The sequence below is a fragment of the Homo sapiens genome, chromosome 17 (assembly GCF_000001405.40).
Source record: "Homo sapiens chromosome 17, GRCh38.p14 Primary Assembly".
Classification (NCBI taxonomy): Eukaryota; Metazoa; Chordata; class Mammalia; order Primates; family Hominidae; genus Homo; species Homo sapiens.
The window spans coordinates 60,512,924-60,528,100 of NC_000017.11; the positions used below are offsets into that span (position 1 = coordinate 60,512,924).

Consider the following 15,177-nt stretch of genomic DNA (forward strand, 5'->3'; position numbering starts at 1 on the left):
AAAGTCTTCACTTAAAAAAAAAATTTTTCTTTTCCTTTTTTTTTTTTTTTTTGACCCTGGGAGCCTATTCAAAAGGGAACGCTACATGGTCGCATCTTGGCGTGAGACAGCGCTATTCCGTGGGTGCTATAACAGGTTCCAGCAGTACTTGGGTGTTGATGTCCCACCCCTGATGCTGTGCAGCGCCTGAAACCCAGCGAGCTCGGAAGGTGTCCAGAAGAATTTCAGTATTTGCTACAGTAACCTCATCAGCCTGCCAAGACAGCAGTGCAAGCGGCCAAGAGGGCGAGCATTCGACTTCCACCTGAAGTAAATCAGATATTGTATATAAGAAATTTGCCATACACAATCACAGCTCAATCAATGTATATTTGGGAAATATGGACCTATTCATCAAATCAGAGTGGAAAACACACCTGAAACTAGAGGAACAGCTTATGTGGTCTATGAAGACATCTTTGTTGCCAAGAATGCTTGTGATCACCTATCGGGATTCAATTTTTGTGACAGATAACTTGTGGTTTTGTACTATAATGCCAACAGGGCATTTCAGAAGATGGACACGAAGAAGGAGGAACAGCTGAAGCTTCTCACGGAGAAATATGGTTGTCAAGATAGATCCACCAAAATCAATGTTTTCTACATTTTTATTTTGAGGGCGGGCACGGTGGCTCACATCTGTAATCCCAGCACTTTGAGAGGCCAAAGCGGGAGGATCACCTGAGGTCAGGAGTTCGAGACCAGCCTGGCTAACATGGTGAAACCCCATTTCTACTAAAAATACAAAAAATTAGCCGGGCGTGGTGGCGGGTGCCTGTAATCCCAGCTACTCGGGAGGCTGAGGCAGGAGAATCACTTGAACCTGGGAAGCAGAGGTTGCAGATGCCACTGCAATCCAGCTTCGGCAAGAAGAGTGAAACTCCATCTCAGAAAAAAAAAAAGAAAATAGAGCATATATGTACAAAGTAAAAAGCAATTGCGATCCTACCCCTGGAGTAAACACCATTAAAATTTTGTTGTGTTCCCCTATATTCTTCTTTCAATGCAAACACATATACATATTTTCCCCACATTAAAAAAAAAAAAAAAAAAAAAACACAGCCAGGCATGGTGGCTCACACCATTATAATCCCAACATTTTGAAAGGCTGTGGCAGGAAGATCACTTGAACCCAGGAGTTCAACACCAGCCTGAACAATGCGGCAAAATCTCATCTCTACAAAAAATACAAAAATTAGCTGAGCATGCAGTACACACCTGTAAGTCCCAGCTACTAGGCAGGATCACTTGAGCCTAGGAGGTGGAGGTTGTAGTAAGTGGTGATTGCACCACTGCATTCCAGCCTGGGTAACAGAGCAAGACCCTGTCTCAAAACAAACAAACAAAAAACCCACAATGGAGGCTAGGCAAGGTGGCTCATACCTATAATACCAGCACTTTAGGAAGCCAAGGCAGGAAGACCGCCTAATGCCAGGAATTCAAGACCAGCCTGGACAACAGAGCCAGACCCCGTTTCTATCAAAAAAACAAAAACAAAACACACACATAAGATGATTCTATTCACACTACTTTGTAACAAACTTTTTATTCTCCCTACTTGCTCTATGTTCTGGCATCTCTAGTATACATAGAATACTCATTCTTTATAAATGCACTATGATATTCCATTCCTGATTAGCATATGGTTGTTTTCAATTTTTGCCATCATAAACAATGCTGCTTATGAACAAACACTGAATATCCTCTAACAGGATTTTCCACACATTCAACAAGTATTCCTGGAAGAAAAATTCTTTAAATTGTATTGTTGGTTAAAGGGTATGAGTGATTTGAATTTTTAAAGCATGACAATCTGACAGGTGAAGGCTGATGTTATTTTAAAACTTTTCTTTTTTTTTGAGGCAGGGTCTCACTCTGTCGCCCAGGCTGGGGTGCAGCAGTGCAATCTCAGCTCATTGCAACTGCCACCTCCCAGGTTCAAGTGATTCTTCTGCCTTAGCCTCCCAAGTAGCTGGGATTACAGGTATCCGCCACCATGCCCAGCTAATTTCTGTATGTTTAGTAGAGACGGGGTTTCACTATGTTGTCCAGGCTGGTGTTGAATTCCTGACCTCAAGTAATCCACCCACCTCGGCCTCCCAAAGTGCTGGGATTACAGGCATCAACCACTGCGCCTGGCCTATTTTAAATTTTTTTTTTTTTTTTTTTTTGAGACAGAGTCTCACCCTGTCACCCAGGATGGAGTGCAGTGGCACGATCTCAGCTCACTGCAACCTCCACCTCCTGGGTTCAAGCAGATCTCCTGCCTCAGCCTTTCAAGTAGCTGGGATTATAGGCACCAGCCACCATGCCTGGCTAATTTTTGTACTTTTAGTAGAGACGGGGTTTCACCATGTTGGCAAGGCTGGTCTCAAACTCCTGAACTCAGGCGATCCACCCACCCTGGCCTTCCAAAGTGCTGGGATTACAGGCATGAGCCACCACGCCCAGCCTATTTTAACATTTTTAAATCAAAGTATAACATGCATACAGAAGAGCGCACAACTCATATTTTAAATGTGAAGCTTGATAAATTTTTCACTTGTAACCAGCATCCAGATAATAACAAAGTATAACCACAATCTCAGAAGGCTCCCCTCATATCTGTCCCTGCATCGTCACTACTGTCCAAGAATAGCGTCTCCTAACTTTCAACAACTAAATTTTGCCTGTTTTGAACTTCATATAAATGAGATCATATATTATACATCCAGTTTCCAAACTGTGCACCAAGGTGCCCTGAGGCCCTGCTAGATATTCTTAATTTGAGAGAAACAACATTCAGCATCTGCAATGCGCTATACCAACTACTAGACTGGTATACTACACTGCTTTCAATGAGATCTTTATGAAGCTGTGTTTTCAGTGGTTGCTGTGATAAAAAGAGTAATATAAAAAGTCAATAAGGAACATCAGATGAAGCTGGGTGCGGTGGCTCACGCCTGTAATCCCAACACTCTGGGAGGCCGAGACAGGCAGATCACTTGAGGTCAGGAGTTGGAGACCAGCTTGGCCAACATGGTGAAAACCCGTCTCTACCAAAAATATAAAAAATTAGCCAGGTGTGGTGGCACGCACCTGTAATCCCAGCTACTGGGGAAGCTGAGGCAGAACTGCTTGAACCCAGAAGGCAGAGGTTGCAGTGAGCAGAGATCATGCCACTGCACTCCTGCCTCGGAGGAAGAGTGAGACTCCCTCTCAAAAAACAAAAACAAAAAAAAAACAAACAAAAAAAACCAGATGAGAGTGGTGGTATCCAATCTGATTCCAAGGTTTGAGACGCTGTACAGTGCCCAATAAACAAACATCCCATTAGTTAATGTGGTTGTCTAAGAATGAAAGTTTTTTCGTTCAATTTTTGTGCATTTTAAGAAACAGATCTTAAGTTGTTAGGACATAAATAATATGAAGTTTTTTGGATCTAACTACTTAATAAACAGAACTGTCAGGTATTTCTTTTGGCCTGGGGTTGCCATGAACCAAGGGTTATAAAGGGAGAAAGTTTAGGAACCTCTGGTATATATTCCTGTGACTGGTTTATTTCACTCATTATCATTTGCAAGATTCATTCATATTATTTCAAGTAGTTGTTGTTCATTCATTTTCATTGTGTAATATTCTACTACGTGACTATCCCACTATTTATTAATATTCTTCTATTGATGGGTATTTGGACAGTTTCCACCTTTGGGCTATTATGAATAGCAGTGCTATGAACATTCATAAGTGTATATATCTTGAAGTAGCATTACTGGGTTACAGGGTATGTTTATGTTCAGTTTTAGTAGATAATGCTGCTTTTCCAAAATGGCATATCAACTTATATTCCCATTAACAATGTATGAGAGTTTTTTATTTCTCCATATCCTTGCTAACATTTTCATTGAGTCACTGTGATGGGTGTACAGTAAAACAGTACTTCTCTGAAGACAAAATAAGGTTGAGTTTCTTTCTAAATGTTTGGCCTTTTGAATATTCTCTTTTGGGATGCCTATTCAAATTCTCTTCAAAAAACAAACAAACAAAAAACTGAGTATTTTTCTCGCTGTGTCGCCCAGCCTGGAGTGCAATGTCATGATCTCAGCTCGCTGCAGCCTCCGTCTCCTGGGTTCAAGCAATTCTCCTGCCTCAGACTCCCAAGTAGCTGGGATTACAAGTGCCTGTCACCATGCCTGGCTAATTTTTTTTATTTTTAGTGGAGATGGGGTTTCACCATGTTGGCCAGGCTGGTCTTGAACTCCTGACCTCAGGTGATCCCCTGCCTTGGCCTCTCAAAGTGCTGGGATTACAGGCGTGAGCCACCATGTTGGGCCTTTTCTCTGCTATTAATGTACAGTTCTTTCTTTAGGTGTACAATGAGTCCTTTGTCAGATACAGGTGCTGCAAATATCTTCTCCCACTCTGTGGCTTGACTCTTCACTTGCTTAATGATATCTTTTGATGAGATGTTCTTGATCTTAATATAGCACCAATTTATCACACTTCCTTTATATTTAACCACTTTGAGATCCAAATTAATCTTTGCTGACATAAAATTTTTTTCTAAAAAACTTTTTTCATATTTAGATCAGCAATTTATCTGGAAATGACTTTTGTGTGTGGTGTGAGGTAAAGTCAAGATACTTTCTTCCCTGATACAGAAATTAATTAACCAATACCATTAATTTGACTTTCCTTTCCCTATCATAGTGCTGTCTCACTTTTATCATAATACAGGTGATAGTATATGTGTCAGTCTGTTTCTGGACTGTCGATTTTGATCCATTGGTCTATTTGTCAATCCATGTGCCAATACCATATTACCTTAATTGTTATAGCCAGGTAACAAGTTGAATTCCTCCAGATTTTCTTTCTTCATCGTCATGATTACCTTGCATCTGGCTTTATCTTGTATTTGAATTTGTATTTCAGTTGAGTATCTTTTAATGTTCATTGGCCATTCATATTTCCTCTTCTGTAAACTGGTTTTTGGGACATGAATTAGTTGCCTTAGCTGCCTTTTTCAAACTGATTAGTATTAGATCTTTCTGTATTAGAAAACATGCCCTTCATCTGTCAAATGCTGTCATCTGCATAGTGTTTTTTTAAAGTGTTCTTACAATTTCCTTTTTTTTTTTTTTTTTGAGACAGTCTCATCCTGTCTGCAGTGCAGTAGCATGATCTTGGCTCACTGCAACCTCCGCATCCTGGGCTCAAGCAATTCTGCCAAGTAACTGGCACTACAGGTGTATGTCGCCATGCCTAGCTTATTTTTTATTGTTTTTGGTTGAGACACCATTTTGCCATGTTACCCAGGCTAGTCTTGAACTCTTAGGCTTAAGCAATCTGCCTGCCTCGGCCTCTCAAAGTGCTGGGATTACAGGCATGAGCTACCATGCCCAGCCGTGTGTGCGTGCGTGTGTGTGTGTGTGTGTGTGTGTGTGTGTGTGTGTGTGTGTAAGAGAGAGAGACAGCTAGTCTTGAACTCTTAGGCTTAAACAATCTGCCTGCCTCGGCCTCTCAAAGTGCTGGGATTACAGGCATGAGCTACCATGCCCAGCCGTGTGTGTGTGTGTGTGTGTGTGTGAAAGAGAGAGAGACAGGGTCTCACTCTGGAGGCTGAGAGTGCAGTGTCATGATAACCACTCACTGCAGCCTTGAATCTCCCAGGCCCAAGCGATCCTCCTGAGTAGCTGGGACCGTAGGCATGTGCCACCATGTCTGGCTAATTTTTAATTTTTTTGTAGAGACAGGGTCTCCCTATGTTGCCCAGGCAGGTCTAGAACTCTTAGGCTCAAGCCATCCTCCCACCTTGGCCTCCCAAAGTTCTCAGATTACAAGAGTAAGCCACTGCTCCCTGCTCTACTTTTTAATGCATTCCAACACATCAATTTCTTTTTTTTCCTTCTGGGCTTTGGTTTCATTCTTAGAAATGCCTTCTTCATGCCAAGATGGCATTACAGTGTTGGCAAGGTAAGACAAGAGGTAAAGATAGATTTTAAAATTATTTTTACATTACCTTTTTCCCCCCCTTTGAGACAAGTTCTCACTGTGTTGCCCAGGCTAGTGTGCAGCGGCACAATCACAGCTCACTGAGCGGCCTCGACTTGCCAAGCTTCAAATGATCCTTCCACCTCAGCCTCCCAAGCAACTGGGACCACAGGCATGCACCACCACACCTGAATAAATTTTTTTTTTTCTGGTAAAGACAGTGTCTCCCTATGTTGCCCAGGCTGGTCTCAAACTCTTGGGCTCAAGCAATCCTCCTGCCTTGGTCTCCCAAAGTGCTGGGATTACAGGCATGAGCCACTGCTCCTGGCCACTTATTTTTATAGTGTTTGACATTTTCATGATTTGTACATTACCTTAAAAATAATTTTTTAGGCTAGGCACAGTGACTCACACCTGTAATCCCAGCACATTACGGGGCTGAGGTGGGAAGACTGCTTGAGGCTAAGGTTCAAGACCAGCTTGGGCAACAAAGTGAGATACGGTCGGTCTCTACAAAAAAAAAATTTTTAAGGTTTTTTTTGTTGTTATCTCCTACAGAAAGGAGAAAATTTTTTTTTTAATTAACCAGGTGTGGTGGCAAGCATCTGTAGTCCTAGCTACTCGGGACGATGAGGCAGGAGGATCACTTGGGGCCAAGAGTCCAAGGTTGCAGTGAGATATGATTATGCCACTGCACTACAGCCTGGGAGACAGAAGGAGGACTTGTCTCTTAAAAAAGAAAGAAAAACAATTTCTTTAAAGAAGAAATTTTGGTCATTTCCCACTGCAAAATATTGACCCAATAATTTATTCTGATACTTTTATAATTTTAGTAGCCAAATTTAATTTTTTTTTTTTTTTTTTTTTTTGAGACAAGGTCTCACCCTGTCACCCAGGCTGGAGTACGGTGATGCAATGACAGCTCACTGCAACCTCAGCCTCCTGGGCTCAAGCAATCCTCCTGCCTCAGCCTCCTGAGTAGCTGAGACTACAGGCATGCAACACCACACATGGCTAATTTTTTTCTTTGTTCTAGAGATGGGATCTCACTATGTTGCCCAGGCTGGTCTCGAACTCCTGGACTCAAGCAAAATCCTCCCACCATGGCCCCAAAGTGCTGAGATTACAGACATAAGCCACCATGCCCGGCCATCAGTGTATTTTTTTAAATTCTCAGAAAACTGAATGTTAGTTCAGGCTGTATGTAGCTATACAACTGAAATATACAGAGAAAAAGAAAAAATTAACTCCGATCCTAAATCAGAACCTAATTAGTATGGTTTTCAGCATGGTATTTATTTTTATTTTGTTTTTTCTTTTCAGCATAATACTTTAATTTTTAAAAAAATCATTAAGGAGGCCGGGCGCAGTGGCTCACTCCTGTAATCCCAGCACTTCGGGAGGCCGAGGCAGGCAGATCACCTGAGGTAAGGAGTTCAAGACCAGCCTGGCCAACATGGTAAAACCCCATCTCTACTAAAAATACAAAAATCAGCTGGATGTGGTGGCAGGTGCTTGTAATCCCAGCTACTTGGGAGGCTGAGGCGGGAGAATCACTTGAACCCAGGAGGCAGAGGTTGCAGTGAGCCGACATTGTGCCTATGCACTCGAGCCCAGGCAACAGAACAAGACTCTGTTAAAAAAAAAAAAAAAAAAAAATTAAGATTGTGAAAACAATACATAGAACACACTGCTGAAACACTTCACCCAGACAAAGTTTAACTCTACGGCACACTTTGTATTTGGAAAAAACACAAAATAGACCTTCAGTAGTTAAAATAAAAAGATCATAAACTTCATTCATTTTTTTAAAGAGATGGAGTCTCACTACATTGCCCCAGCCAGTCTTGAACTCCTGGACTCAAGAGATCCTCCCGGCTCAGCCTCCCGAACTGTTGGGATTACAGGTGTGAGCTACCACACCTGGCCATAAACTTCATTCTTTAGAATAAGAACACAGCCCCGTCTCTATTTCCTTTCACTCTGTATAGAGTTCTAGAATTTTCTTTTAAGAGATAATTGTGTTGCCCAGGCTGGAGTGCAGTATTCACAGGCACGACCGCAGCTAGCACCCTATAACCTCCAACTTCTGGGCTCAAACCATCTTCCTGCCTCAGATTCCTGAGTAGCTAGGATGGGACTACAGGCATATATCACTCCATCTGCCTCACAATTCTTTCACTTCATCTTACCTGCTTTTATACCAAAATGGTTGCACGCCCTTGGAGAGAAAACTTTCAGAATCCAAGCATTATGATCACATGCCACATAAAGTTTCAGTCAACAACCGACTGCATATAAAAAGGTGGCCCCATAAGATTATAATAGAGCCAAAAAGTTCCTATTGCCTAGAGACATTGTAGTTGAATTACTTTATTTTTAACATTAATTTATAGTCGTCTAAGTATACACTGTTTATAACATCTACAGTAGTGTACAGTGATGTCTTAGGCCTTCACATTCACTCACCACTCACTCACTGACTTACCAGAGCAACTTCCAGTCCTAAAAGCTCCATTCACGGTAAGTGCCCTATACAGGTGTACCATTTCTTATCTTTTATACTGTACCTTTTCCATGTTTAGATGAAGCTTGCCCAATGCACAGCCAGCGGGCCACACGTGGCCCAGGTCAGCTTTCAGTTACACTTTTTTTTTTCTTTTTGTGAAGAATGGGGTCTCGCTTTATTGCCCAGGCAGGTCTCGAACTCCTGAGTTCAAGCTATCCTCCCACCTCTGTCTCCCTAAGAGCTGGGATTACAGGCATGAGCCACTGCACCTAGCCCCCAGGACAGCTTTGAATGAGACCCAACAGAAATTCGTTAACTTTCTTAAAACATTATGAGATTTTTTTTTTCCTCAGCTTATCAGCTATCGTTATTGTATTTTATGTGTGGCCCAAGACAATTTATCTTCTTCCAATGTGGCTCAGGGAAGCCAAAACATTGGACACCCCTGGTTTAGATACACAAGCACTTAATACTGTGTTACAACTGCCTACGGTACTCAGTAAAGTAACATGCTATATGAGTTTGTAGCCTAAGAACAATAGGCTATCCCACATAACCTAGGTGTGTAGTAGACTATACCATCTAGGCTTGTGTAAATACACTCTCTGATGTTCCCACAAGCATGAAATCGCCTAACAATGCATTTCTCAGAACATATCCCCGTCATTAAGCAACACATGACTGTATTGTGTAGGGTTCTGATTTTTATTAACTATTCTTTTACACATTTTTAGTCACCTTCCCTTCTCATACACCTCAGTAGACATTCCCAACTTCTGTTTAGACTTCCTGTATAAAAGCTACCACTCCTATCACTTACCCGCAGCAAATGAACTCACCTCCTAATTCATGACAATCATTCTTACAAACTTACCTATATTAACGACTTGTTTTGTTTTGAGATAGGATCTCCCTCTGTTGCCCAGGCTGGAGTGCAGTGGCACAATGACAGCTCACTGCAGGCTCTGACCTCCTGGTCTCAAGCAATCCTCTCACCTCAGCCTCCCGAGTAGCTGGGATGACAGGCATGCACCACCATGCCTGGATAACTTTTTCTACTTTTTGTAGAGAAGGGGTCTATGTTGCCTAGGCTGGTCTCGAACTCCTGTGCTCAAGCGATCCTTCTGCTTCAGCTTCCCAAAGTGTTGGAATTATGAGTGTGAGCCCTGCGCCTTTACATCTTTAATTCTTTTGTTCTGATCTTAGAAGAAGAGTTCTTTCCCCAACTCCAATATAAGGATAATACCTTAATTTATGCACGGTGAAGGAGGAAAGACCAAAAACAGGCAAGACTCATCAACTCATGTTCCTGCTCAGGGACTTTGCTCCGTAACTTATTTCCCACCACACTTGGATACTCAACCTCATTCTCTTGGTTTCTGCCACTCAGCCAACAAATATATTCTAGTGTCTTCCATTCTTTTTTTTTTTTAAAAAAAAGAAAAAACATTTCATATTTTACCCTTTCTATGCTCTCCCTTCCCTGCTTATACAGCAGTCAACATTCCTGCTTCTTTACCTTCCATTCATTCCATAACCCCATCTCCTAATGCTTTACGATTGTGCCTTTATCTGAAGCTATTACAAAAATTAACACAGTCATACTGTAGTACACCAAACAAGCAGAATGGGGAAATTTGATTCCACAAATACTCCAATTTTGTCTATGACTATGCCTACTGATGGAAATTTGGACTGCAAGAGAGATGTAATTATGAGTTTCTCCTTGGCTTTAAAGTGCAGAAAATTGGAAATTGGAAACAGTAAGCCTCCTAAAATTTTCACAAGTTGGGCAGGGGGTGAGTATCTTATATTTATGTGTGCAGTTATATTGCTTTAAAAAGTTTTTCCAGCCTGGGCAATATATCAAGACCTCATCTATACTAAAAATTAAAAAAAAAAAAATTAGCTAGGCATGGGTGGCATACACCTGTAGTTCCAGCTACTCAGGAGGCTGAGATGGAAAGACTGCTTAAGCCCAGGGGTTCAAGGTTGCGGTGAGCTATGATCACAACTGCACTCCAGCCTGGGCAACAGAGCAAGATCCTGTCTCCACAAAAAAAGTTTCTTATATGTATATGCTAATAGTGTTTAAAAGGAAGAAAAGTCAGGTGCGGTGGCATATGCCTGTAGTCTCAGCTACTCAGTAGGCTGAGGCAGGAGGATAGCTTGAGCCCAGGAGTTCAAGACCAGCTTGGGCAAAACAGCGAGACCCCATCTCTATTTTTTTTAAATTTTAATAAAAAGAATAATTTCTTCTTACATCTCCATTAAAGATTAGAATAGAGTCCTGGGACTGACTTTCACTCCACTTCCATAGAAGCTAATAAAAAAATTAGTGTTATAATATCTTTCATTAAAATAATCTACTATCTTAAGATAGATATCTAAGTAAAAGAGCAAGGAACTCAGGAACTAAATATCAGGTTTGAGACCTTAATTAAATTACTTAACTTTCTCACCAATAAAGCAAGGTTATACTGTACTCTACTTCACAGTTTAATTCTGAAGATTAAACAAAATAACACATAAAAGCACAACATAGTTACAGGCACATGTTTAACACTTCCCTCATCTTAGCACAGTGCCATACTCCCAATAAGCATACAACTATTAAGAAGTAAAAGTGTACCAAAAAGGAGCAATATTAAAACTGTGTGAACTATGTGAAACAGAAATTCTAACAAAAGCACCATCTATTCATACTAATAATCTTCAAATGAAAAGCTTCAATTAGAAGTGAAAGTTACTAAAAGATATTCAAGTATTTTGAACGAATTCAACTAGTAAATACACTTGGATTACATTCCCAATGATTTCCTCTGAGAGATTACATATGAGGTACAAGATTACACATGATTTAATAAAATGGACAGAGAGCACACACAAAGCTGCAGTTTCCCAGGCTGAGAAAGACAAATCTAATTTGTCCTTCCTGGGGAGGAATGTATCTTAAATGAACAAAATTTCCTTAGAATACACAAAAGTAAATCAATGTATCAAAGGGATTAGGAAAAAAGGGAGCTTTTTCTCGAAATCCAAAATAATAATACGCATGACCTAAATGAATCTTCTCCAAATATTTAGGGGGGAAACCCCACTTTAATTGTTAGAATTGGTGCAAAGCAGCTGGATTTAGTAGAACGCAGCCCATCAACTGCTAATTCTGAAAAAAAAAAAAAAAAAAAAAAAAAAATCTAGGGGTGGAGAAAGCAGGCAATCTTCCCAATAAAACAACTGCCACAAAACACTGTACATACGTAAGAACATAAACATCTGTTAAAATATCAGTTTACACTGTTCCAGCCAACTTACAGATCAAGAGGAAGTATTTAAGGTCTAAAAAATAAATTACATTCTACTTTTAGTCACATTTTGCATGGGTGGCTACTGGACACTAGGAGTTATCGACGCGGATTCAAGACAAGGAAGACTGAATAATAAATCCAGTGTTCACATTCAAATGTGGGGGAGAGAAAAGGGCAGGCTCTGAGTCCATAAAGTTCTCCACACTCTGAAAACACTGCAAAAATAGTCCACATCTAAGGACACTTACCCTTGAAACTCCTTGGAGAGTGGCTTGGGAGACTTGCTGTTCAGATTTTTGAGGGGGAGTGATTTAAGAATGCTGCAAGATTGCAACTTTCAAACACAGGAACATAATCTAAAGTGTTTTTTTCTTTCAGTAAAGATCTCTCCCTGTCCTCTTCAAACAGTTGATCAGCACTCCCATTTTCACAAAATCCCTAATTCAAGTATAGAGCCCCTCCTCTCCCACAAAAAAATCAAAGCTTTAAAGAATATGCAAATAAAACACACAGATTATTTCCAATAATCCCTAACTCCTTCCCAATTGGGAAAAGAAAGGAGAAACGAAGGAACACGAAGCAAAAACACCAAAACACTCGGGGAAGGAAGGCGGCGAGATGAGAAAGTAGGAATGGGTGGGGGGAGGAGCACGGAAAAAAGTCCAGCTGATGCTGACACTTAATTGGAAGGAGAGGATGGAAAATATCCTGAAGATACGGGCTAGAAGGAAAGGACTAGGTGGGACAGGGGCGCGATAGAGTAAGTCCACGCAAAAGGCCTACCCAAGAGGGCCACTGTGTAGAAGGGAACACCAACAGGGAGCAAGACTCCCCAAGATTACTTCAAGGCCCCAAAGCTTAAGAGACAGGGCATAGGGAGATGGGGTGCTTCTCCACTGGCAATGCAGACACCGCACCAGACGTTTCGGGAGGCAAGTCTGCCGGAAGGGGTGAGGGGTTAACTGCGGGGGTTCGCAGACGTGGAAGGGGGTGCGGCCCCCGGGGTTGCTGGAGGAGAGCAGAGAGGAGGCCCACGGCGCATACCTTGTAGTAAACATCAAACTGGATGTTCTCGGGCAAGGAGCGGATGTCTCGGCGGGAGCGGATGTAGTTGTCCACGACAGCGGAGATGGCGGTGTTATAGAGAGTCTCTGGGATCCACTCTAGTTCCACGGCCGCCATCTTCCTTCCCTCCTCCTCCGCCTCCTCCGCCTCCTCCTCCCGAAGGCCCCCACCTCCCTCCGTAGCGAACCCCTCTGCGGCCCCGGAGGATTCGGAGGGGCGGTGGCAGCCACGCGGGCGCACGGCAGAAGGCACGGCCGCCCTGCCTCCTCCGGGGGCAAACTGAGGGACGGCGGCAGCGGACGCAGGCCCGAGTAAAAAGTGGGACAGAAAACAGCGGCCAGCCAGGCCAAAAGCGTCACAATCCCGGTTCGAGAGGAACCCGGGTTCCGTCCCAGCGCTGATCTCTGCAGGGGCGGGGCTGCGTGTGCGGCGTCATGACGTAAGCGCACGCCGGCGCGCCGGAGGGGAGGAATGCGGCAGGCGGAAAACTTAGGAAGAGCTGGATGCCTCCCACGGAGAGCGTCCCTTCCAAGCGGCCCCGGAGTGGAGTGGAGTGGAGTGGATAGGGGTAGACTTTTCACACGGGGACAAATTATTACAGGATATCTGCGCCCCCTGTTCCGAGTCACTCGGGGCCATCGGTTACTTCAGCAGGTTCTCTGCATCACGGACCCTTTTGAGGCTCAGGTAAAAGTTTGGATCCTCTCCCCACAAACGAGCAAAATTATCTGTACATTGAAAATTATGCATTGAGAAAATTCACATTACTCTAGAAACCCTTAGACTGCAGTTCCTAACCCAAGTTAAGAACCCGCGGTCCAGGAACTAGGGGTAACGATAGAAGAGAGACTTGTTTTTCTTTGTATAACCATTTGCACCGTTGTAACTTTTTGACCATGTTTCTTTATCCAAATGAAATTTCCGAAAAAAGAAAACTCCTGCCCCAGAACTTCGTAGGAAAACTAGCTTGATTATGGAATTACAAATAATAGTAAGAGAAAAAAGGCTAAGTGGTGGCCGTGATAGGACTTAATGGTATTTCAATTCCCAGAGTTACAGTGGCGGCTTCAAGGGATTGTTGAATAATTGGGAGTACTTGTTTCAGCTTCTTTCCTTCCTCAGCCTGAACATCTGCTGTTTATGTAACTTAATTTCCTAAGTCTGCGATTTCAAGAATTTGATGCAACATCTTTCTGTTCTAGGAATTTACCATGGAAATTATTGGCCATAATTGTTGGTGACACTATCAAACTCATAGTCACTCTATAACGATGTAAGTCCAGAAAACAGCCATAATAATAATGTCCTGATTGATATTTAGAGCTAAAAGAAGTGGAAAGAGTTATTTCAATTTACCCTTCACCTGGTACTTCAGTGTTAAGTGGTTAAATAATTCCACAAAAAATAAACACTCTTAATCTTCTTCAGTCTATATAAATTCTTACTCTATACTGTGAACCTAGGAAAGCTGTGGATGGCCTCAAGATCAGATTGCCAGTTTAGCAAGTAAAAAACTACAAGGCTGGGCGCGGTGGCTCACACCTGTAATCTCAGCACTTGGGAGGCCGAGGCGGGTGGATCACGAGGTCAGGAGATCGAGACCATCCTGGCTAACACGGTGAAACCCCGTCTTTACTAAAAATACAAAAAATTAGCCCGTGGTGGCGGGCGCCTGTAGTCCCAGCTACTCGGGAGGCTGAGGCAGGAGAATGGCGTGAACCCGGGAGGCGGAGCTTGCAGTGAGCCAGGATCGCGCCACTGCACTCCAGCCTGGGCAACAGAGCGAGACTCCGTCTCAAAAAAAAGAAAAAAAAAATTACAAGTGCCCAGTCACATCTTAATGTCAGATAAACAACAAATGGTTTTGAAATGTAAGTATGTTCTGTGCAATAGTTTTGCTCATGCCTTCGGAGCCACTCAAGTGTATCAGTTCATTCAGCAAATCCTTCATCACTTCTTAGACACTGGCGCTTTTGAAGATCAGGATCCCTGCCCCACATAAAAGAATAATTATTATCTCTGCAAATATTGCAGGGGACATATTTATACTAAAAACTTATTTGTGACCAGCCTGGGCAACATAGCAAGACCCCATCTCTACAAAAAAAAAATAGCCACATGTGGTGGTGTGCACCTGTAGTCCTAGCTACTCAGGAGGCTGAGGCAGGAGGATTACTTGAGCCCAGAATGTTGAGTGAGCCATGATCATGCCACTGCACTCCAGCCTGGGTGGCAGAATGAGACCCTGTCTCAGAAAACAACAACAACAAAAAACTTTGTTGTTCA

At 42.5% G+C, this 15,177-nt stretch overlaps 1 protein-coding gene and 1 pseudogene across 2 annotated transcripts in view, besides 3 other annotated features; one reads left to right on the forward strand and one right to left on the reverse strand.

The window, feature by feature from the left end:
• APPBP2 (amyloid beta precursor protein binding protein 2) overlaps positions 1-13,319 on the reverse strand; it is an 83,085-nt gene extending 69,766 nt beyond the window's left edge. For both annotated transcript variants that reach the window (NM_001282476.2, NM_006380.5), the window contains exon 1: positions 12,871-13,319. In NM_001282476.2, coding sequence (NP_001269405.1) covers positions 12,871-12,884 — 14 coding nt within the window. In that variant the 5' untranslated portion in view covers positions 12,885-13,319. The remainder of the gene's footprint in view (positions 1-12,870) is intronic.
• On the forward strand, positions 86-9,371 carry LOC107984970 (splicing factor 3B subunit 6-like; annotated as a pseudogene).
• Positions 12,230-12,938: an enhancer, noted in NCBI's record as "NANOG-H3K27ac-H3K4me1 hESC enhancer chr17:58602514-58603222 (GRCh37/hg19 assembly coordinates)". NCBI's record gives its function as "activates a minimal SCP1, AML or CMV promoter by ChIP-STARR-seq in primed H9 embryonic stem cells {active_cell/tissue: H9 hESC(primed)}" and the evidence as "EXISTENCE:reporter gene assay evidence [ECO:0000049][PMID:30033119]".
• Positions 12,659-12,928: an enhancer, noted in NCBI's record as "active region_12531". NCBI's record gives its function as "activates an Ori minimal core promoter by ATAC-STARR-seq in GM12878 lymphoblastoid cells {active_cell/tissue: GM12878}" and the evidence as "EXISTENCE:reporter gene assay evidence [ECO:0000049][PMID:35858748]".
• Positions 13,009-13,148: a silencer, noted in NCBI's record as "silent region_8794". NCBI's record gives its function as "represses an Ori minimal core promoter by ATAC-STARR-seq in GM12878 lymphoblastoid cells {active_cell/tissue: GM12878}" and the evidence as "EXISTENCE:reporter gene assay evidence [ECO:0000049][PMID:35858748]".
• Positions 13,320-15,177: the final 1,858 nt, after the last annotated feature.